The sequence below is a fragment of the Homo sapiens genome, chromosome 4 (assembly GCF_000001405.40).
Source record: "Homo sapiens chromosome 4, GRCh38.p14 Primary Assembly".
Taxonomy (NCBI): domain Eukaryota; kingdom Metazoa; phylum Chordata; class Mammalia; order Primates; family Hominidae; genus Homo; species Homo sapiens.
Window position 1 is genome coordinate 168,397,534 of NC_000004.12, and position 23,813 is coordinate 168,421,346.

At 38.7% G+C, this 23,813-nt stretch overlaps 1 protein-coding gene across 22 annotated transcripts in view; it reads right to left on the reverse strand.

Moving 5' to 3' along the window:
- The window catches only part of DDX60L (DExD/H-box 60 like), a 123,758-nt gene that overhangs the window by 40,799 nt on the left and 59,146 nt on the right, over positions 1-23,813 (reverse strand). For 19 of the 22 annotated variants that reach the window (XM_047416399.1, XM_005263341.5, XM_011532403.3 and 16 more), the window contains 9 exons: positions 22,728-22,847; positions 21,769-21,864; positions 19,149-19,264; positions 18,124-18,266; positions 17,875-17,984; positions 9,069-9,173; positions 8,417-8,545; positions 6,449-6,573; positions 3,293-3,445 (listed from right to left, as the gene is read on the reverse strand). In XM_047416399.1, coding sequence (XP_047272355.1) covers positions 3,293-3,445; positions 6,449-6,573; positions 8,417-8,545; positions 9,069-9,173; positions 17,875-17,984; positions 18,124-18,266; positions 19,149-19,264; positions 21,769-21,864; positions 22,728-22,847 — 1,097 coding nt within the window. The remainder of the gene's footprint in view (positions 1-3,292; positions 3,446-6,448; positions 6,574-8,416; positions 8,546-9,068; positions 9,174-17,874; positions 17,985-18,123; positions 18,267-19,148; positions 19,265-21,768; positions 21,865-22,727; positions 22,848-23,813) is intronic. The other 3 variants (XM_011532405.2, XM_047416401.1, XM_017008829.2) reach the window with 1 other exon arrangement.

The following is a 23,813-nucleotide window of genomic DNA, read 5'->3' on the forward strand; positions in this document are numbered from 1 at the left end:
TGAGCAGATTTATGAGCTAACAGGAAGGAAGGCCCTCCAGGTAGATGCAGTGTGTGCTACATAGATTCAGATGGTGGAGAGCAATTCATGTGAGTGCCTACCCATTAACAACCCTACCAAGCCATTCAGAAGGAAGAACTTTGTATGTACGACAATCTAACTAAATGTGCACATTAGAACTGATGGCAGCAGTGGCTAATCTGGAGCGGCCGCTGCCAGGACACCGGCTGCAGTGGGAGAGGCAAGGCCAGGGCTGCGTGCTCCATGGAGCCAGCAGAAGCTGGGAACAGGTGGAAGTCCTGCCCACTTCTGAGTTGACAGGGTGGGAGACGCCTTCCCCAGGCACAGCTGTAGCCACCCAAGCTGCAGCTGCAGCTGCAGACCCAGGCATCCCTGTGCTCTTGGGGGCTGGGAGCAGGCAGGAGCCCCGCCCTTATGGGAATAGCTGCAGCCACCCAAGCCATGGCTGCAGACCCGGGCCTCCCCGTGCACTTGGGTGCCAGGAGTGGACAGGAGCCCCATCCTTCCAGATATAGCTGCAGCCACCCAAGCTGCAACTGTGGACCCAGGCATCTCCACACTCTCGGGGGCCCAGGAAGGCCCCCTTCCCTCTGCAGGTTTGGAAGCACCTGCTCCCACTACCTGGCCTCTCTCTGCTCCAAGTCCCTACTCCACAGGCTCAGAAGTGTCTGCTCCTGCTGCCTGGCCTCTCCCTGCTCCTGGCACCCACTCCAAACTCAGAGAAAAGTTGAGGCCAAGCCTAGGTGCTGTCACAACCTAGCCAGGTGTGTGCACGCTCAGGACAGCGCTGACATGCCAGCCCCCTGTTGACTCGGCTGTTTCCAGACATTGAGTGCCAGTGAGCATGGGAGGGAGGCCAAAGTGGGGGCTAAGAGCAGCTCGGCACTGGCCTGCAGGCGGCCCTTTGGCACAAAGAGCCTGGGTGCCATGAACAGCAGCAGGAGGCAGACAGGCTCGGAGCAGAAAGGAGTGGGTCCCTGGTGAAGTCCCACCTTCAAGCTGAGAAAGGCCTGAAACCTGGGGGCTGGGCTGCCAGTCCTGTGGACCAGAGTGGGAACTTAACGGTGCTTTCTCCAGGCCTGCCCATGGCCACCCATGGACCAATCAGCACACACTTCTTCCCCTCTGAATCCTATATAAACCTCAGACTCAGCCAGACTTGAGGACTCAACAGACGACCAGCTTCCGAGAGGAGCTACCCACTCCAGGGTCTCCTCTCTGCTGAGAGCTGAGCAGATGTCAGGATTACCAGCTACGGAGGGGAGCTACCCACTCCAGGGCCTCATCTCTGCTAAAAGCTGAGGACTCAACAGGGCAACCAACTGCAAAGAGGAGTGACCCACTCCAGGGTCTTCTCTCCACTGAGAGCTAAGCACTTGATGGGATTACCTGCCTGCAGAGAGGAGCAACCCACTCCAGGGTCTCCTCTCTGCTAAGAGCTCAACACTCAATGGGACATCCCACCTGCAGAGAGAAGCTACCCACTGCAGGTCTCCTCTGAGCTGTTCCATTTCTCAATAAAGCTCTTCTTCACCTTGCTTACCCTCCACTTGTCTGTGTACCTCATTCTTCCTGGATACGGGACAAGAACTTGGGACCACTGAATGGCAGGGCTAAAAGACCTGTAACACAAACAGGGCTGAAACACACCCCTTGCTTGCCACGTTATGGGTGATGAGCTGGAGAGAAGAGAGAAGGAGAGAAGAGCTGCAGCCCTTCAGGGAGCCAGACCTAGGAGCTCCCCAAGCCATGGCTGTGATAACTTCTTTGGGGCTCTGCAGTTCCTGGCATCTCTGGGCACCACCATGTTCCCCCATGCCAGCCGTGGAAGCTGCTTGCAGTACGCCTGGTCCAGCCCCAGCCTCACAGGAAGCTGGTGCCCGTGACAGTGCCTGGAGCTGCCCACCCCTCTGCAGCTAGCATGCCTGGCTGTGTGCAGCAAAGGTGCCATTGGCCACAGAGGTTTCCGGCCAGAAAAGCAACACCCGTAACAGAATCCCATAACAGAACAACCAGACCAGCACCTGTATTTCAATAACATTGGAACAGGTGAACCTGGAACAAGAAATTACACATGAGAAAGACTCCAAAGAATGCCAAATAACAAATGGCAAGGACCTGAACCAAGGCAGAGCCAGTAAGTGAGGATGGAGAGGATGGCAAGGAGAGAAGAAATATTTTGACCATGGAACTGTCAGAATTAATCAGACCTTGGGGAGAAAGGAAAAAAAAATCACAGCAGTGAAGTCCTACCCCAAGCATACGATTGGTATGGCAATTCATTCTATAGGCCATTCTTTTGTTTTTAAGTTTTATTTTAAGTTCAATGGTACATGTGCAGATTTGTTATATAGGTAAACTTAGGTCATGAGAGTTTGTTGTACAGATTATTTCATAACCCAGGTATTAAGCCTAGTGCCTATTAGGTATTTCTCCTGATCCTCTCTCTCCCTTTTCCTCCCACCCTCCACCCTCGGATAGGCCCCAGTGTGTGTTGTTCCCCTCTATGTGTCCATGTATTCTCATAATTTACTTCCTACTTATAAGTGAGAACATGTAGTATTTGGTTTTCTGTTCCTGCATTAGTTTGCTAAGAATAATGGCCTACAGCTCTATCAATGTCCCTGTAAAGGACATAATCTCATTCTTTTTTATGGCTGCATAGTATTCCTTGGTGTACATGTACCACATTTTCCTTATCCAGTCTATCATTGATGGGCATCTAGGTTGATTCCATGTCTTTGCTATTGTGAATGGTGCTTCAGTGAACATATGCATGCATGTATCTTTACAACAGAATGATTTATATTCCTTTGGGTAGACGCCCAGCAATGGGATTGCTGGGTTGAATGGTATTTCTGTCTTTTGGTCTTTGAGGAATCACCACACTATCTTCCACAATGGTTGAACTAATTTACACTCCCACCAATAGTGAATAAGCGTTCTACAGACCAGGAAACCTCCAGGTTGTGGCCTAGGGCATGAATGCAGGTTATGGTTAAGTAGGCTGAGGGCCTCCTAGGAGGCCCAGTTGACCCTTAGGCTTACAGGCTGTAGTCCCACCTCCCCGATTCCTAAATGAAATCCATCTACATGTATAAGAGGGATTCCCTTCCTCCCATCCTCCCACCCAAATTTACTCTATTTGCAAAAACTGTGAAGCAATAACAAGAACCTCTTTGTGGCTCAGGTCTCTAAACATTTCTGACAGTGTCTTGTAAATATTTTAGTCTTCAGGGGCCAATTTGTTTAAGTAAACATTAATACTTACATCCTTTTCTGTGTCTTCCTCACTTTTTCAAGTACTTCATCTATTGCAAAGACATAACTATGACATTCAGTGTGGGGATGGCTTTTTGTCTCTGTCTTCTCCAGAAAAGTGCACACACTTCCAGCTCTTTTTCCCACATCATCATTCTTAAACCTTAAAACAAATGAAAACAGTGCTTTGAAAAGACTATGTTTCTATCCATATTGTAAACCAAAAATAAAATTATAAGGCCCCTCAATCATCTGAATAGACTTCATCCTAGGCCAGGGCACTCTAAAATTTAAACTGAAAGACTGGTTTAAGCCCCGATGGGAAGTAGGGGTTCAACATACCTCTCGATACTCTCCAGCATTAACACCAATGTAGACCTTAAGTCTGATAAGAAACATTTACAGTCTATTCTCTCTGAAGCCAGCTACCTGGAGGCTTCATGTGCCTGGTAAAACTCTGGTCTCCACAACCTCTTATCATAACCCAGACATCCCTTTCTGTTGATAACTATTTCAACCAATTCCCAATCAGAAAATTTTTAAATCTACCTGTAACCTGGAAGCCTCCCTCCCCAACTTTGAGTTGTCCTGCCTTTCTGGACCAAACCAAGGTATATGTTAAATGTATTTGATTAATGTCTCATATCTCCCTAAAATGTATAAAACCAAGCTGTAGCCCTTGGGCACATGTTCTCAGGATCTCCTGTGGGATGTGTCACAGGCCATGGTCACTCATATTTGGCTCGGAATAAATCTCTTCAAATACTTTAGGGAGTTTGACAATATCATATGTCCATTTACCATGATCATCTTGACATACAGTTTGCTAGAAAAAAATGTTTTGGCTCAATGTATGTAATGTCCAGTAATATAACACTCATTCTAGGCTGAGTTCACCATAGAATTTTTTCGAATACTACTTGTGAGGCCATGGATTTACTAGCATGTTTAGAAAACAGACTTCGAAAAGAAATCCTATTTAGCTGATCAGCATTAAATTAATACACTGAAGAAACAAAGACTAGGAAAGTCACAGTCTACTATGCATGGTAAGAAGATCTGGTATGTAAAAAAGCAAAAATAATAATAGCAAACAATGACCAAGTTCCAGGCACTGTTCTATGTGGCTTCAATATATTAACTAATTTAATCTCTACCATGACGTTATGAGGAAGGTAATATTATCTCTGTTTTGCAGATGAAGAAGTAAATGCCAAAGGAAATTTTAAAATGTCTTCAAGGTCACATAGCCTAGTAACTGGTCAGGTTAAGATTAGAACCCGGGCAACTCAGCTTCAACTTCAGAGGCTTTTTTTTTTTTTTTTTTTTTGAGACAGGCTCTTGCTCTGTCGCCCAGACTGGAGTACAGTGGTGCACTCGCAGCTCACTGAAGCAGAGGCTATATGTCTAACTGCACTTCTAAATTTGCTTCCGTGTTCACAGTAATAGAAGTTAATATGCAACACCCACATACTACTGGTTGCAAACAGTACTCTAAATGACAGCATTAAATGATTCTTCTTACTGCTTTAACACAAACAAACCTAGGTCATCTAGAATTAATTTTCCTTTTTCAATCCCTCTGATAATCTATGACAAGAGTCCAGTGTAAAAAAAAAAAAAATTCTAGTGAATGGGCCTCAATCAGTCATGTTTTCTACTGATTAGTTAAGTGTTTTATATAAATTATTTCATTTAACCCATATCACAACCCAATGAATTAGTTATTATCTCCATTTTTCAAATGAGGCTGCAAGAAGCTAAATAGATTTTCAGAAGTCACATAGCCAAAGGAGGGCAGAGCTGCAGTTTAAGCTAAGATTTGACCCAAAGTATGCGCTCTTAACTACGCCTCTACATGGGCACCAGTCACTAATCATGCATCTTGTCAGCACCATGTGTTTTTTCTAGGGTCCAGATTAGGGAAGGGAAGTTGACCCAGCTTGAGCCTAAACCAACTGTCATAGAGTTCTCAATGTTCCAGAGCTACAAACCAGTGGACTCAACCTAGGATTTCTGTAGCATATTTTCAAGACAACTGGAAACTCCGTTAAAGCTGGCAAAGATCTCGTTCCCAAACATTTAAAATGTCTATTTTTAAAAATAATTTATTTTACAAAAGTAAATGCATGTAAGTGTATAAATAATGAATCCTGTTTCTGTTCAGATTCCTATCCCAAAGTCATACTTTCAGCCATTCCTCAGTGATATATAGGGGTACATTTGTTTCTAACTAAAATTCAGAGCCACACTGGAAAGTAATCTAGATAGATGTTATAACATGTTGGCAGAATACCTCATTTGTTTACTCTGGTCCAAGCACAAAAGAAGAAGAAATTTTCTTGTAATTCCCCACATTTGTGACTTCAGTCATACTACTCTTTAATTTCTCTTATCATCATCTTTTGGTTACTGACCACCAGCACGGACTTCGGATGCGTAACAGAACACATGTGGCTTAGTGCTACCATTTAACGTATCTACACACCTATGTGTTTGTGTGTTTGTCTTTGTAAACAACTTCACATTACCATTGGATCAAGGTCCTGGGAATTTATTTTATGCAAATTTTCGTAGTTAAAATAATTTAAAATTCTCTGGGCTAAATAAGTTTTTTGGTTCTGATTATTAGAGTGGGTCCAGGGTACACAGTGTTACCCACTTAATGTGTCCCACTTCGGTTCTCCTAATCAAAGAGAGATGCTAAATACCACTCAAGGTCTTTTTAGTATACCACACCATATCAAGGAAAGCCTCTGGGCTTAGTTTTCTTAGCTATAAATTAAAAACCAAACATTCAATAAATTATGAATGCTTTATGTGTTTTACATCTGTACATGAAAAATGCAATTTAGTTCCTAAAGGAACATTTCTAAAGTTAATGATAGTTGCTTACAAAAAGAAATTTAGGAAAGCTGAAAACCTTTTTAAAAATCAAAAGTCAAGGAAGTAAGAGGGTAATAAGATGAAAAATTTTATAAGGATTGACCTAGAAGACTGACCCATTTCTTTAAAAATAAAATCTATATTATTTTTCTAAAATGCAACAAAATGGTAAAAGTAGGGTTACTTCTAACCACTATATATAAATGAGACTAATTGAAAACAAAACCAAACAAAAAATTCTCACATATAAACAAAGATAAATTAAGTTTCAGTTACTTACAAAAAAAATATTGCAGGCAACTTATCCATTTGTCTTAACTTTTCAACAAGAAGAGGAAACATTTTCACCATATCTTTTGAACTAGACAATGAATCCGGACTAAGGTTCTTCAGTACTCTTTTGACCTACAACAGTAAGTAAAAATTATTTAAAAAAAAAAAAAGAATTTGTGGAAACAGAAGAAAGAAAGGAATTATTTTGTTGTCTAAAATTAGAATAATTTTTCATATATAATTTTGGGTGGGTTTTTAAAATAGTCCTTTAATATTATCAAGTAGTGGTAAAAGTCAACAGAGTCACAGACATCTCTATACTAAAGAATAGATAATAAAAGATATAAAATATAATATATGATATTTTGTAGGTACTACAAATAAGTCAGTAGGATAAGGATGTTCATAAAATGTTGCTGTTTCAACTGTTGCAGGAAGAGTGACAAAGGGTTTCTCCAGTTATTATATAACAAAATAGCTGCCAAATATGTTAAGGAGTATATAAAACCTATAATGGAAAAGAAATTTAATTTCTTAAAATTAAAAAGAAAAAGTTTTAACTATGTCTACCAATAATTTGTAATAGTATACAGACATGTTTATAATGCTTAACTGAAAATTCAAGAGATAAGTGAGTCACAAAATACAATGGCCAATAGAAGTGTAATAAGTTGTTCACCTCAGATATTGTTGAAATTGTGGATAGTAACTTTTATCCTACTATTCCATATTTGATAATTTTTTTATAAACAGCATCTACCTCTTTTTTAATCAGAAAAAATAAATGTTATTTTACATCAGGAAAATTAACATTAAATTCCTTTACATAATATACAATGGAAAATCTTTGATGAAATAGTTATGGCTATCATGAATAATTTTCTTGACAAAGTTATTTTCCAGTTTAATTATCATTTGAGGGGTGGCAAATAGGGACATCCTTGGTATTCAGTTTTCCCCTGATTAACATTTAATGGAACACAGCATTCTGTGCCAAACAGGCTAAATTATTTGTAATATTTCCTAACATCAGTATCATTTTTTTTTTTTTTGAAGATGAGTCTCCCTCTGTTGCCCAGACTGGAGTACAGTGGCATGATCTTGGCTCACTGCAACCTCTGCCTCCCAGGCTCAAGTGATTCTTCCACTTCAATCTCCAGAGTAGCTAGGATTACAGGCATGCGCCACCACATCTGGCTAATTTTTGTATTTTTTTAGAGACAGGATTTCACCATGTTGGCCAGGCTGGTCACAAGCTTCTGGCCTCAAGTGATCCACTCGCCTCAGCTTCCCAAAGTGCTGGGATTATAGGTGTGAGCCACCACTCCCGGCCAACCCATACCATTTTTATCTTTATTTCTTTCACCACCAGAGTGAAAAATGCAAATAAACATGACAGTCAGCAAACTAGAACCAAAGATGCATCAATGTTATGCTCAAAGATATCTTTGCTTCTCAGCATAGCCACCTACGAGTCTGTCATCTATAAATTTGCCTGAGCCTCTTTCAGGTATATTTATATTTTCTCATTTATCATCATGTACATGAGTTTCAGAAATTGGTTATTTTTAAATAATTTATTTTTATTTGCACAAAACTTTCTTAGATTAGCCCCTGTACTAATTCCTGATCTCCACTATCATTCCTCTGGAGCCAGTCCCTCTTCTGTGAAAGCCTCGGCAACATTGGTTCTCCTGTTAAAGTTAAAGGTTCTTCGTTTTTAGCTGTTTGTAGCTGTTACCTGAAGAAACCAAAAGCCTATGGTGCATGTTTTAAAGGTCACTGAGCTAAGAAATGAAACCATTTCCCTCCTCCTTTATTCTATCTCATACTCACTGGATAACATGTTTAAATGGAATTACTAAAACAAAAATCGGAATAAAAAGATTACAAAACATTTATTGGCTAAATTATTATGCAACTCCAAACAATTAACAATTAAGTGAAACTTTGTCCAAGAAAGTGTGAAAATTACCTTCTTCACTTGGCCATTTTTAATCCAATTTGTCAATTCTGCCTTTAAGTTTTCTTCATATTTTCTAGCATCCAACTTCTTAATGACTATCTTATTCTTAAAAAGAATGAATTCCTCTGGACACAATTCCTTGGGGGGAAAATTATCACAAAATTAAGCTAAGCTATGCAATCTATAGTAAGAAAAATACAATGATGTATTTAAGTTTACTTGTCTCCTTAACAAAATTGCAAACTCCTTGAGGGCAGAGGCTGTTGAACATCTTTTTACCTCCCAATAATTTCTAACACATAAACCTATGATGATGGGTGAACTCTTCAAAAGAAAGAATACAGGGCACAGCTGATGAAAAGATGAAAACCAACAGAGAAGAGAATAGAGGAATATAAGTCCAAAAACACAATTAAAGTAGTATGGTATCCCAAAAGCTAAAAGAAGACATATTTTTGAGAATTACAGAATATTCCATGCTACGTACAATAATAAAGTCACAAAGAATGGCTGAAAATAAGAAAAAATAACTGATTATTTCAAAATAGCAGCATCAACCAAGTAGAGAGAATAAGTGTGCTTACCTGTAGAGTAATTTTGCTATATTCTGGAATAGCATTAACTAAAGTTCATTTTGGTGAATATATATTTCTATATTTACCTGAGCCCTGGGCCAAGTTTCCCAGACTTGAGCCATGGTATCATAAAGCTGGATGCTTTCTTGAGGGGTGAGGGTAAGATCAGGTGGGAATCCATACTTTTCAATCTGTGAATAAACAAATTAATGGATGGATGAAGAAATAAAATTACAATGTTTATATTTCTTTTATTTTATCTTTCATGACTAAACCCTCAAGTCTTTACCTGTGAATCCAGGGACATTAAAAGGCAATCAACTGTAATATTTCACCTCTGCAAGGATCTGTTAATAAAGTCTTAACAAAGTAGCATCCCTAACCTGCTGAAATGGAAAACTTCAAAATCCACTAATAAGTTTCAGTACTATTTCCTGAGACTATTTGCACTAGATAATAAACTAACACTGCTCTATGAAACTTCCTTAGAATGCCAGTGAGGGTACTGGGTGGCTGGAAAATATGAGCTCTTACAGAATAGCCTCAGTTTAGACAAAAAATATACCTTTCTTTTTGAAATATCCCTTTGAAACAGACATTAAAATGTGTTTAGTGATGAAGATGATTTTATGGGTACCAAGCCACGTAAAAAGGGACAAACCTTTGCCCCTAGAGATCCAATACAAGAGCCGGATCAAGTTTATAAGGGCAAAGACCCTCAGACAACCTTCAGATACTCAAAGAAATTTCTACCTGATGGTTACCCTGGTTACTGATCAGCTTCCGTCTGAAGCCTTTAGAACTCATGCACTACTTTTTCTCTCACAAATACTGTTGATGTTAGTTGTGTGCAAAGCACCATGTAGGGTACAAGAACAAATCCTGTCCTCATAGCCTTTGTGTTCTATACTCTTTTGGCTTCAATCACCACTTCTTCGAATCCATTATGTACAAAAGGGATAAAGTAACATCTAAACCGTAACACCAAGAAAAAAATTAAAGATGAGTAACTATGGGAAAGGCCCTATTAAGCAAGTTAACCAAGTATCTTTATGTCAAGGTTTCTGTTATGTTCATGTGTACTGTGAATCTCTAAGAAAGGGACAGGATATCACACTTCTCCCAAATATACTTGAGGAAGGAACCCTTCCTTTAAAAAATGCCTATTACTGGTTTCTAGAAGATTGGAAATACTGGGCTAAAGGAGCCACTCCAAAGATAGAGTTCAGAAAGCAAAGAAAGGCTGTTTGATGGACTGTACCGCACAGCTGGGTTCTAATCACAGCTCTAATCACTACTCCCTGGGGTTCTGTTTTTCTTGTCTATAATATGAGAATGACAATGTCTTCATTGCTTGTCTTCAAGATTGTGGTGAGATTCAAGAGGTTAATATAGCAAGGTTTTCTTTTTATTCTATGTTATGCAACATAAAGAATCATCATTTAGCAATTCTCAGATTGAATTTATGAAGCTAGCTAGTTGGCAGGGACTTCATTTGAACACACTAGTAACTGTATTCATTATCTCAGAAGGTGAGGATTTCAGTATCTCATAAACTGCATCTTGCAGGTGACCAAATATTCTGTCTATAAATGAAGCCATTCTTGACTTAAGTAATTAGTTTTCTAAGAATTATCAAGTACATACTAATGCTGTGCTTCTATTTTGGTCTCTAGAATAATAGTGATTCATTTTCAAAGCATCTCCCTTCCTTTATGAATGCCTTGGTTTCCCGTCTCTAAAATGGGAATAATTATCCTTACACCACAGATTTGTTGTGAGGATTAAATGATATAATGTATACAATATGCTGTTAAAATGCCTGACTCTTTTTGAGTATCCCATCCATCATAGTGACTGATTATTAACTTTCAGGTATTCTTTTTCATCACTTTGTCAACTGTATCACTAAAAGGATATATTCAATTCAATTGTTCTCCTCTGCACAACATGTAATTAGCTGGTTTCTCTTAAGCTGGCCTAGATAATACATAAAATTATATAGAAAGACAATATATAAAAGATCATTATATGGTTGTATCGGTTTGTACTTCTTCATTCATAAACAAAAGCATATCATACCACAATGCTCCTTTTGAAAAAAAAATTAAAATGAACAAAAAATAAGTAAAAAAGTTACATACTAAGCATTTATCAGAACTACACAGAAAGAGACAGACAGTAGTTCTTTCGAGGACTGCCTGGTGCCGACAGCCTCTTTGGGCACTGAGCAGCTGTTCTTTTACGGCAGCATAATTTGTAGGAAGGCTGTGCAGCTCTTCCCTTAGCCCAGGAACAAGCCATATATGGATTGCAGTGATCCCTCACCACAGCTGGATTAAAGCCAGCTCACTCATCCTGTTCCCATGCCTTCCTTCCCAAAGCTATTTCCATGAGTGTTACAGAGAATAAATCCAAGGTTAGAAGGTTCCTTTACATTCTTCTCCTGTTGCTTCAATGTATTCTGCTTCCCCTCATGAATGAACAATTTCAGTGTAATCTCATGAATACTATACTCATTTGGATAGACCATCTTGCTATTGTCATTGCTATCTTAGGAGCACGAAGAAAGGTCTTATATAAATGCACACCTCACAAATTTAACCAGTTGTCTAAGCATTTTAAGAAGCATGTCTCTCTAGTTGTCTAGTTACTTTACAAAAGTAAAGTATCACAGAGTAAAGAGCTGAGAAGATTCATACAACAGCACAGCTCTGCAGAAGTCATACAGGGTCAGAACACACTGTAATGGTTCTGTTGCTTTCCAATTACTCCATTAATAGCTACTGAGAATAGACGAAGGCACATGGCCAAAATGATGATCTTACCAAGAACTCCAGGCCACTGTACTCACAAATGCTTAAAGGTAACTTACCTTAAATCACTCTAAGCAGAGTAAACCATTAAAAAATTATAAAATACTATGCAACTAAAAACTTGCTGAAAATTCAATGCTGAAGATATCAAAATATAATTGGAAGGCTTAAAGAGTGATGTATGCTTATCATATATCTATTCCCTAAGCACAGAGTCAGAGAAATAGGGAGGGATAGGGACAGAAATGCCATTTGGAATGAGTCACTGCAAAGCCAAGAAAAAACTACATAATAAAATTATGTTTGAAAATGTCTGGAAGACAGAATCACTTTAAGTGAGTTTTACATGCCCTTAATCACCATAGCTCAGAATCTATGAAGTAATTTCCATTTAATTCCTTACTCGTGCATTCGATCCACAAATTATTTAGTATAACACTATGATTAAGAACATTAGGCTTTGGGGTCAGAACTTCTGAGTTTGTACCATAGTCTGACAATTACTAACTGAGTCCTTGGACTAGTTAAACAACCTCACTAGCCCTCTTTTTCCTCATCTGTAAGTTGGGAATAATTATAGTACATTTATTATAAAGATGTTGTGAAGGTTAAAAGAGAAATATATATAAATATTAACAAGTGCCTGCCACGTAAATTCTCAACACATCTTTGCAATCATCATTCCACAAATATTTACTGAGCAACTTTTGTGTATATGGCACTATGAGCTAGCTATAAGGTAATCCAGGGGTGAAAAAGTGCAAAATTTTTCATTAACAATTTTATAATTTAATAAGAAAAAGAAGACATGAAAGCAAAAAATTATAACAGCAGGCTAAACATAATTGGTGTCATTTAAAAAGTACAAATAATAAGTTACATATTATCAGAAAAGAAGATTAATTCCATCCATGTGGAGAGATCATAGAAAGACTTCTGGAAAAAAAAATCTCACATTAGCAAAGACATGGAAGACGAATAGAATCTGGAAACTTAGAGTTTGGCATCTGGAATGAAGCATTCCAGGTATAGTACACAGCATGAACCCTTTAGGTAAGCTACATCCAGGGTTTGAGTGAAAAGCTGAGGAAAGTCTAAGTTATAGAAGATTTGAATGCCAGGCTACAAAGTCTGAAATTTATTTCCAGTGGAGAAACATTGAAGACTTTTGAGTAGAATAAGGACAGGATCAGAATTATGTTTTAGGAAGATAAATGGAACAGCATAATTTTGGATATAAAGTAATAAAAAAAGGACCAACTATTGGCTAATGTCATTATATCTTCACAAGGCAACTTGAACCTATATAATTTAATAACAGAGATAGGATGGAAAAAGAGGAGAGAATAGCAGGAGAAATTAATGTCTTCCCACACTCATAATCCAGTGCCTCAAGTGAGATCTCCGAAAACTTCATCTTCTCAATCCACCATGAAAAAAGTCATGTTCCGATTTTTATGTTGGTAGGAAATGTCTCTTCCCTGTTCAGATCATTTGGTAATGGGAACTTCGGACATGAATGAGGACTGCCAATACAGTTGTGGCAGCACTGTTAGTCACAGAGAAGTAGAAGACAGAAATAGATACTAAGAAGCCGTAAATAGGAAAGGATAATGTCTGTAAATAAAGAAAAGGAATAAACTAACCAAAGAACCCGAATTAGAACTCTCCATTACTTCCTCTCCAGTTATTAAACTTTGGGTGTCCCAAATGACTTTGAGGATCTAATGAAAGCTAGAAGAATGTATACACACACAATTTAGGGGTTTTTCACTTTTCTATGAAGTCCATCCTTGATGTCCGTGTACCTGAGGTTAAGATTATCTGTAAAGATGGCCTAATAGAAGCCTCCTGTGAGAATCAGCCCCTACAGGAACTCCAAATTGAACAACTATGCACACAAAAGGCACCTTTATAAGAACCAAAAATCAGGTGAGTGATCACAGTATCTGGTTTTAACTCTGTATCACTGAAGGAGGCACTGAAGAGGGCAGGAAAGACAGTGTCGACCTGCCAATGCCACCCATCCCACATCCTCCAGCAGTGGCCACATGGCATGCAGAGAGAGTCTGTGCACTTGGAAGAGGGAAAGCATGGTGACTGGGACTTTGCATTAGAATTCAGTGTTACCCTGTCACAGCGAAAAGCAACACCAGGCAGAACTCAGCTGGCACCAGTGGAGGGAGCATTTAGACTAGCCTGACCCAGAGGAGAACTGCCCATCCCAGCAGTCGAAACCTGACTTCCAGGATGGGTAATTCTGAAACTGGCAAGCTCGTCACTGGGGGTTAAAGTGCCCGAGGGTCCTAAATAAACTTGAAAAGCAGCCTAGGCCACAAGGACTACAATTCCTGGGCAAGTCATGGTGCTGTGCTGGGCTCAGAGCCTATGGACTTGGGGTGTATGCAATCTACTGAGACACCAGCTGAGGAGAGCTAGGGAGTGATTGCATCATCCCTCCCCCAACCCTAAGCAGTGCAGCTCGCAGCTCTGAGCAAAACTCCTCCCTTCTGCTTGCTGAGAGGAGAGGGAAGAGTAAAGACGACTTTGTCTTCAAACTTGGACACCAGCTTAGCCACAGTAGGATAGAGCACTGAGCAAAGTCATGAGGCCCCCATTCCAGGCCCTCGCTCCCAGACCTTTCTAGACACATGCTGAAACCTGCTGCCTTGAAAAGATGGACCCAGATTTGGCAGGATTCATCACCCACTGAATAAAGAGCACTTGGGCCCTGAATAAGCAGCAGTGGTAGCTAGGTAGTACGTGGCCGTGTGCCTGGGGTGATACTCTGAGGCATGCTGGCTTCAGATATGACCCAGCACCTTCCTAGCTGTGGTGGCTATGGGGAGAGACTACTTCTGCTTGAAGAAAAGAGAGGGAAGAGTAAATGGGACTTTGTCTTGCAGCTCAGATGCCAACTCAGGCACAGTGGAGTAGAGCACTGAGCAGGCTCTTGGGGTCCCCAAGTGCAGGCCCTGGCTCTTGGATGGCATCTCTGAACTTACCCTGGGCCAGAGAAAAGCCTGTTGGCCTGAAGGGAGAGACCCAGGCCTTGTAGCATTCACCATAAGCTGACTGAAGAGGCCTTGGGCCTTGAGTGAAGATTAGCAGTAGCCAGGAAAAACTCACCATGGGCCAGGGCCGCTGGTGGTCACAGAGAGAGACTCCTCTACTTGTGGGAAAAAAAAAGGGAAGAGTAGATAGATCCTGACTCCAAGCCCTGGATCCCAAACAACATCTCTGGACCCACGTGAGATCCGGGGAACCTGCCACCTTGAAGAAAAGGACACCAGCCTGGCTGGCTTCACCACCTACTGATTGTAGAGTCCTCAGGCCTTGAATGAAAATTGGCAGTAGCCAGACAATGATTATTGTGAGCCTAGGGCAATACCTAGTGCTGTGCTTGATTCCATTCTAACCCAGTGCAGTCTCTGCAGTGGAGACCACAGGGATGCTATGTTGCTTTCTCTTCCCAGCTCCAGGCAGCTCAACACAGAGAAAAAGATTCCATTTGTTTGGGAGACAGTAAGGGAAGAAAACTAAAGTCTCTGATAATCCAGAGAATTATTCAGGATCTTATCCAAATCACCAAAGTGGTTCCTCTATGAGACTGCAAGAGCCACAGCCTCACTGAGCTTGGGGTGCCCCCCAGTGCAGATAATGGCTGCAGTGACCAAAATCTTAGATCACAACATCCAAGTCCCTCCAAATACCTGGGAAGCCTTCTCAAGGACAAGTACAAATAAGCCCAGACTGTGAAGACTACAATAAATGCCTAACTACTTAATGTCTAAGCATCAATGAATATCCACAAGCATCAAGACCATCCAGGAAAATATGACCTCACCTAATGAACTAAATAAGGTACCAGGAACCAATTATGGAAAGACAAAGATATGTGACTTTTCAGGCCGATAATTTAAAATAGCTGTTTTGAGGAAACTCAAAAAGCCAGTATTACCCTGATATCAAAACAAGGCAAAGACACATTAAAAAAAGAAAACTACAGGCCAATATCCCTGATGAATATTAATGCAAAACTCCTCAACAAAATGCTAGCGAACTGAGTTAAACAACACATTTAAAAGATATTTCATTATGGCCACATGGGATTTATCACAGCAATGTAGGGATGGTTCTACATACACAAATCAATGTGATATATAATATCAATAGAATGATAGCAGGATCCTATTAGATAAATTTAACAAAGATATTGAAATAATTAAAAAGAATCAAGCAAAAGCTGACATACTGAAGAATCCACCAGAGTCTCTTGATAGCAAAATTAATCAAGCAGAAGTGAGCATTAGTGAGCCTGAAGAAAGGCTATTTGAAAATATATAGTCAAAAGAGAAAAAAGAAAAGAGAATTAAAAATGATAAAAGCATTCCTGTAAGATATAGAAAATAGCCTCAAAAGGGCAAATCTAAGATTTATTGGCCTTAAAGGGGCTTAAAACCCCTAGAGTGAGGAGAAAGTTTATTCAAAGGGATAATAACAGAAAACTTCCCAAACCTAGAGAAATATACCAATACTCATATACAAGAAGATATAGAACACCAAGCAGATTTAACCCAAAGAAGACTATCTCAAGACATTTAATAATCATACTCCCAAAGGTCAAGAATAAAGAAAGGATCCTAAAAGCAGCAAGAGAAAAGAAACAAATAACACAATGGTGCTCCTATATGTCTGGCAGCAGACTTCTCAGTGGAAACCTCACAGGCCAGAAGAGAGTGGCATGACATAAAGGGCTGAAGGAAAAAATCTTTTATCATGGGATAGTATATCCAGTGAAAATATCCTTCAGACATGAAGGAGAAATAAAGACTTCCTCAGACAAAAGCTAAGAGATTTCAGCAACACCTGTCCTACAAGAAGTGCTAAAGGGAGTTCTTCAGTGGGAAAGAAAAGGATGTTAATGAGCATTAAGAAACCACCTGAAGGTAAAAAAACTTACTAGTAAGTACACAGAAAAACACAGAATATTATAACATTGTAATTGTGATATGAGTATATCTTCAGTAGAAAGACAAAACAATGAACCTATCACAAATTACAGCCACAGCAACTTTTCAAGACAGACAATACAATAAGATATTAATAGAAACAACAAAAAGTCAAAAAACTAAAACTAGAGCTACCTTATGATCCAGCAATACCACTGCTACATATATACTTAAAAAAAAGGAAATCAGTATATCAAAGAGGTATCCGGACTCTCATGTTTATTGCAGCGCCATTCACAATAGCCAAGATTTGGAAGAAACCTAAGTGCCCATCAACAAATTAATGAATAAAGAAAATGTGGCACTTAAAAACAGTGGAATACCATTCAGCCATAAAAAAAAATAAGATCCTATCGTTTGCAACAACATAGATGGAATTGGATGTCACTATGTTAAGTGAAATAAGCCAGGCACAGAAAGAAAAACTTCACGTGTTCTAACTTATCTGTGGGAGCTAAAAATTAAAACAATGGAATGCATGGAGACAGAGAGTAGAGTGATGGTTACCAGAGGCTAGCAAAGACAGTGGGTTGGGTGGAAGAGGGAATGGTTAATGAGCACAAAAAAATAGATAGAATAAATAAGATCTAGTATGTGATAGCACAACAGAGGGATTATAGCTAACAGTAATTTATTGTATATTTTAAAATAACTAAAAGAGTAGAATTGGATTGTGCTTAAGGTAATGGATACATACCTCATTTAGTCTGATGTGGTTATTATGCTTGAGGTAATGGATACATAATTACCATTGTGTATCCATTAAAGGATAAATGCTTGAGGTAGTGGATACATACCTCATTTAGTCTGACGTGGTTATTATGCATTGCATGTCTGTATCAAAATATCTCATGTGCCCCATATATACAGCTACTTTAGATGCCCACAAAATTAAAAATAAAAAATGTATTAAATTTAAAAAATCAATGAATAAAATAAAAGAATCAGTAAAGAAAGAAAAAGATTATCTATACATGCTGCAGTTCTATGAAGATTGAGTCCCTTTCCAGTTGCGATATACACTAAAAATTCCACTAACAGGACAAATACACTTTTATACTTACAATATCTGTCGTTAGCGCAGCACAGGGATGAAAATGATCAAAATAAACATCATCATGTTTTACTGAACATATATGCTTCTCTAAATCATTGTATCTCTCTCCACAGAGCACTAGATACGAAGAGCAAGAATATCCAAATTAATGGACATACGATTATTAGAATATGGATTTAAAACACAAAAATCCCTATAAAAAGCTTTGTAGTAAAATATAAAAATATATAGTAAAACATAAAAAAAATAAGCTTACCAAGTCTAACTTCATATGATTGATTTTTATATGAATGGTCTTGGAGAAAGTTGAGACATTTGTCAGCCTGTTTTTCAGAAATACATTTCTCTTCCATAATCTTGTCTGCCTGTTTCCAGTACTGTTTTACTGATTGCAGCCACCTTACAGAATAAACATGCATATAATTTAAATAAAATATAGAAGTATTTATCAAGAACTTGGATATTTTAAACAAAGAAAATTTCACAAGTTTAAAAATTTAGAGCATGCCCTCTCAATTTAAACCACCTGAGTTGACTTCAGAGCTGTGGACTTTGGGCAAATTCCTCAGCTTCTCTATGCCTCCCTTTCTCCATCATAACATAGAAGATAACGAAAGTATCTTTCTCATAAGGGTGTTGCGTGGCTTGAATGAGTTAGCGTGCCTGCCACATAGAAAGCACTGTGTGCTTGTTACCAGTGCTGCTGTTACTGCCATCGTCGCTGTTACCAGGAAAAATCAAGTCTGGTAACAAAACAATACTTGACGTTCATATAATGCTTTGTTGTTCTTATGATTGTCATCTGCAAGGTCAATGACTGTGTCCCAGTTATTTCCATTTTAGCTTTAATTATTGGATAAGGACAAAGAAAGGGGGATACAATTCTCTCTCTTACTTCAGATGACATTTACTTGAAAATTTTTAGAAATTGTCCTGCACAATTTCAGATCTGGCTATGGGAGACCTTGATTTTCTTTGGAGAAGATGTTTTCCTTCTCTAACTTCCAGGAAATATATCTTCAAAAAAATTTGAGAAAGCCAGACATGGTAATGTACACCTGTGGTCCCAGCTACTCAGGAGGCTGAGGTGGGAGGATTCCTTCAGCCCAGGAGTTTAAGGCCAGCCTGGGCAACAAAGCAAGACCACTGACGTTTCAAAGATTGGGTAATAAATTTATTTGAAAGTTATCATAGAAAAAACCTTAAAGACTTCAGACCATATAGACAGTATATAATTCAACCACTGAATATATAACAACCACTCTTTTTACCTATACCTACTTGGTGAGAAGATTTGGGTTATTTATGGTAGCTGAAAGAACCAAAAAGGGACATCGAATAATGACAAGGAGGAGCTCCCAAAATTTTGCTCCAACTTCTCTGCCAAGATAATGGACCTAGTAAAGAAAAAAAAATCAGTTGAAAAGTTGATGTCAAAATCGTAAATAAAAAATAGAAGCATAAAATCATCATGCATATTTTTCCAGTTTCCTATAAATGACCTAACCTAAATAAAGTGAATGGTGATAAATTCAGACAATAGACATCATGACACTTAACTGTCTCCAATCTCCATATCGAAACCATTATTAATTCCTACAGATTCCAATTCCAAAAATCTATTTTGAAGCTATGTTTTTCTCTCCATTTTTTGTTGTCATTGAAGCCACCATCACCTGGCTTTCTACAACAGCCTTCTGATTTTTCTCTTAGCTTCCACTCTTTCTCTATACTTTCTTCACATCATAGCCCTAATGGTATTATTAAACAAAAATCAAATTAGGCTACATACCTAATTAAATCCCTACACTGTCCTCCCAATGCATTTACAGTAAACCACAAGCTGCTTAACTGGAAGTGTAACTTCCTGCATGGTCTGGCTTCTTCCCACCTTTCCAACCCCATCTCAGGCCACTTTCCCCGCCATGCACTCTGCTCCCAACATACTGGCCTTCTTTTCATACCTTGAACACACGTGTTCCACCTGAGGGCCTTCACATATACGACCCTGCTACTTAAAATCCTCATCCACCTCTTAGCTGACCATTCCTGCTTATCCCTGCAAAGCCCAGCTGAAGGTCATTGCCTCAGAAACACCTTCCCTGAGTACCTGCTCCAAAGTTGTTGTTCTTACTTCCCATTTTGCTATTATCTTGGTGAAAACTAACTGATTTTTTTTTCTTCAGAGTTTGTATCACAATGTTTACTTATATTTTCATTGGTACATTTACTTATTTAATTGCTCTCCCCTTCACTAAACCACAAGGTCAGTACTGGCATATCAGGGAGAAAGCACAGTGTCTAGCACAGAGTAGGTACTCAATTAATATCTGTTGAATGAATGAATCAATCCTCTTTGGTTCAATAATGCAAATTAAGACTTAGAGAGGAGGTCCAAATTTTGGTCTTAAACAGAATACATCGTGACAATTGGGTCTCAGCTGGAAAGACTTACTAATCAAGGCTAGTAATAAATACATAAAGAAGAATATTTTCATATCCCTTCTGACTTTGATCTAGTCAGATAATCGCCCACTTTACCAAATGCTAATCTTATATTTTGTATCAGCAGGCAATTTCTCTGAACTTTCTAGAATAAACAATTTTTAAAGCCTTCTTACAATCAAGTTTTGTGCATGTATAAATCAGAAAACCAAAGTTACCCACATTTTGTTTTTTGTTTTGAGATGGAGTTTCGTTATTGTTGCCCAGGCTGAAGTGCAGTGGTGTGATCTTGGCTCACTGCAACCTCTGCCTCCCGGGTTCAAGTGATTTTCCTGCCTCAGTCTCCCGAATAGCTGAGATTACGGGAGCATGCCACCATGCCTGGATAGTTTTTGTATTTGTAGTAGAGACGGGGTTTCACCATGTTGGTCAGGCTGGTCTCGAACTCCTGACCTCAGGTGATCCACCCGCCTCAGCCTCCCAAAGTACTGGGTTTACAGGCATGAGCCACCACACCCGGCCTCATTACCCATGTTTTAACATTATTGTGCTTAGGCATTTTGAGATGAGACCACAATCCAAGGTTCTAGATCATAAAGATCAAGGTTTTTGTTTTGTTTTGTTTTCCCTTAAAACGGGAATGTTCAAAGTCAGCAACACACAATACAGCCTGATGCATAAAAGGAAACAGACTACTTTCAGCACAAAGAAAGCAGAATGACAGCATGTCTACCAACTCTCAACTTCACACAAAAAAGGAGTAGATTCACTACATAGGTTTATCACCTAGTTTTCCTTTAAGTTGAAAATTCCTTGAAGCAACAAAATACAAAGCTTGAATTCTATTTACAGTTCTTTCCATTCATTTTGATAATAACATAGCTATGTCCTTCCAGATCTACACCATTCGCCACCTTCCTCTCTGGCCAATGAGTCTGACCTTGGGAATTGGCTCACCCAGCCTCCTTAGCCCTCTAGCTTCTACTGGGTTTGGCCAGTGGGAAGCCTAGGCAAGAAATGGGAAGGAGAGAAGACAGTGAGGTCAAGGTCTTTATTCTTTTGCTCTCTCTCCCTAAGAGGTCAACCTTGGCCAGCTGCATTTCTTCACCAAGGTCACTGTTCTTCTCAAAGAGACATATCTATAGAATCTCTCTTCTGTTAAGGTTCATAATGCTTCCCCCTCCCTTCATCCTTACAGGGTTGAAAGGCTTGTACTATTCTGGATTACTGCACTTACCTTGTGGTTTCCCTTGTACAAACCTTTGTAAACAGCCCCTTAGTAAAAACACTTTTCTAAAAATTGTACTAACGTGAATATGCAATCTGTTTTCCATTGGTACCCTGGCTGACGCACAACTTAACTGCCATCATTGAAAAAGCCCTATATTCTTTAAATTACAAATTATAGGGTGTATGCAGACTAGAACATCAACCAGAGAACTAACACCAAACCTACCTCATCAAATATAACATATCTGATCCTTTCCACCCATTTTTGGCGATGAGGAGCAAGCAACAGGATTTCAAAACATTCCGGCACTGTAATAAGTACCTACAAATATGAATGATTAGTGTAGCTAACTTTATGGAGCATTAATTTTATATCAGGCATAGTAATAGGAACCTAGAAAATATGCTGCTGCTGATAGCAGTTTCATTAAGATAATATTGCATCTTTGACGTTTTTCATTTAAGTCTTTACATTTATGAACATTTGGATTAATGAAAATGAAAAAGAGCTTCTACTCTGTAACGACTGTTTTACATTTTGTTTAGTCTTAAATGTCTACTTTGTGAATTCAATAAGGGAGACAATCTATCTTAATCTATGATTTACCTATCGACGGGTCCACTATCAACACACAATCTTTTTGAGACAAGGTTTTATTATGAGGATCCATAAATATCATTCAAAAGAACTAGCAATTTTGAATGGAAAGAAAAGGTTGGGTAGTCATTTAGTAATGCATTGGGTTTGTTAAATCTACTTGAATCCCTTTCTAAGTTATACTGAAATATCATAATCTTCTATTTGAAATTTCAGATCACAATGTAAGTATAAATATTGTTCACAAGACCTAGCAATTTTGAATGGAAAGACAAGGTTGGATAGTCATTTAGTAATGCATTGGGTTTGTCAAATCTACTTGACTCCCTCTCTAAGTTATAATGAAATATCATAACTTTCTATTTGAAATTTCAGTTCACAATGTGAATATCCTTAGAGATGGTGAGCCTAGTTCTTACTTTTTAGAGTAGAACAACCTTAAATTTTCCTTAGAGCAATTTCATTTTCTTTGTGAATTCAGTGAAATGATTTCTATAAGGGCTTGTGTTTTGCAGATTCCCAGCAAAACAGTTATATAAGTACTGCTCTATAATTTGATAATAAACTCATTAATTAATATGTCATACCTGACAGTTTAGTACATTGTGACAATAATCTCTTGTAAAAGCACCGCATAGAGTTCTGCCGGCAGGCAACGTTTTAGTAAAACGATTCTCAACAGTTGCAGCCACTTGACCAACAAGGGACTGATTGACAAGAAAAAAAACCATTAGTCACTTAGTAGAGAAGAGACATATAAAACCTTGAGGACAACCGAATCCATACACATACACACACACACACACACACACACACACACACACACACACACTTCAATGAAAATGAAATGAAGTAGGGAAAAATACAGATGGTAATGAAATTATCTGATACCACTGAGTATTCTCTTTGATCCTCCTTGATTTTAAACACACACACACATACACACACACACACACACACACACACATGAGATAGATAGATAGATAGATAGATAGATAGATAGATAGATAGACAGACAGACAGACAGACAGATATTACATATCATGTATATGGTGACAATGGGCAAATGAATGACTTTCTATTGAATATCTGGTTCATGATTCCAGGTAAACCACCATTGCTCTGCCTGGGATCCTCCTAGTGCTCTCTCTGCCTGTGTTTGTCGGGATCCTTTCTTATTTAAGCCCCTGCAACTTGCTGCCTAAAAGAGGCAAAGAGCCCATGTGGCCTTCTCTTAAAATTTTCAGCCCCTAGGATTCCCCTTCTATTGTTCTGAGCTTAACTATAATTATATAAAAAGATGTTTGGTGTCTCTTATCCAGCATTTCAGGTATTTTACACAAAGAGATTTTTCTGTTGACCTATATGGCCATATTGCTGGAAATGGAAGTCATATATACCTGGCTGTATTTTTTAATTGAAACAATATTAATTAAAAGAAAAACATAAATCTTCATAATTATAATCATAGCATACCACTCCAAGGGAGGGAGGGAAAATAAAAAAGGAAAGGGGAGAGAGAAAGAAAGAAAGGGAAACAACTTAAAATGTAAATTTTTAAAAAATTAATCCTTAAAAATACTATAGTCATCATTTTTATATTCATGATAGTGAAATATTTTCTAAAAATAAGTATAATTGCAGTAACTATAAATGAAAATATTAACATATGA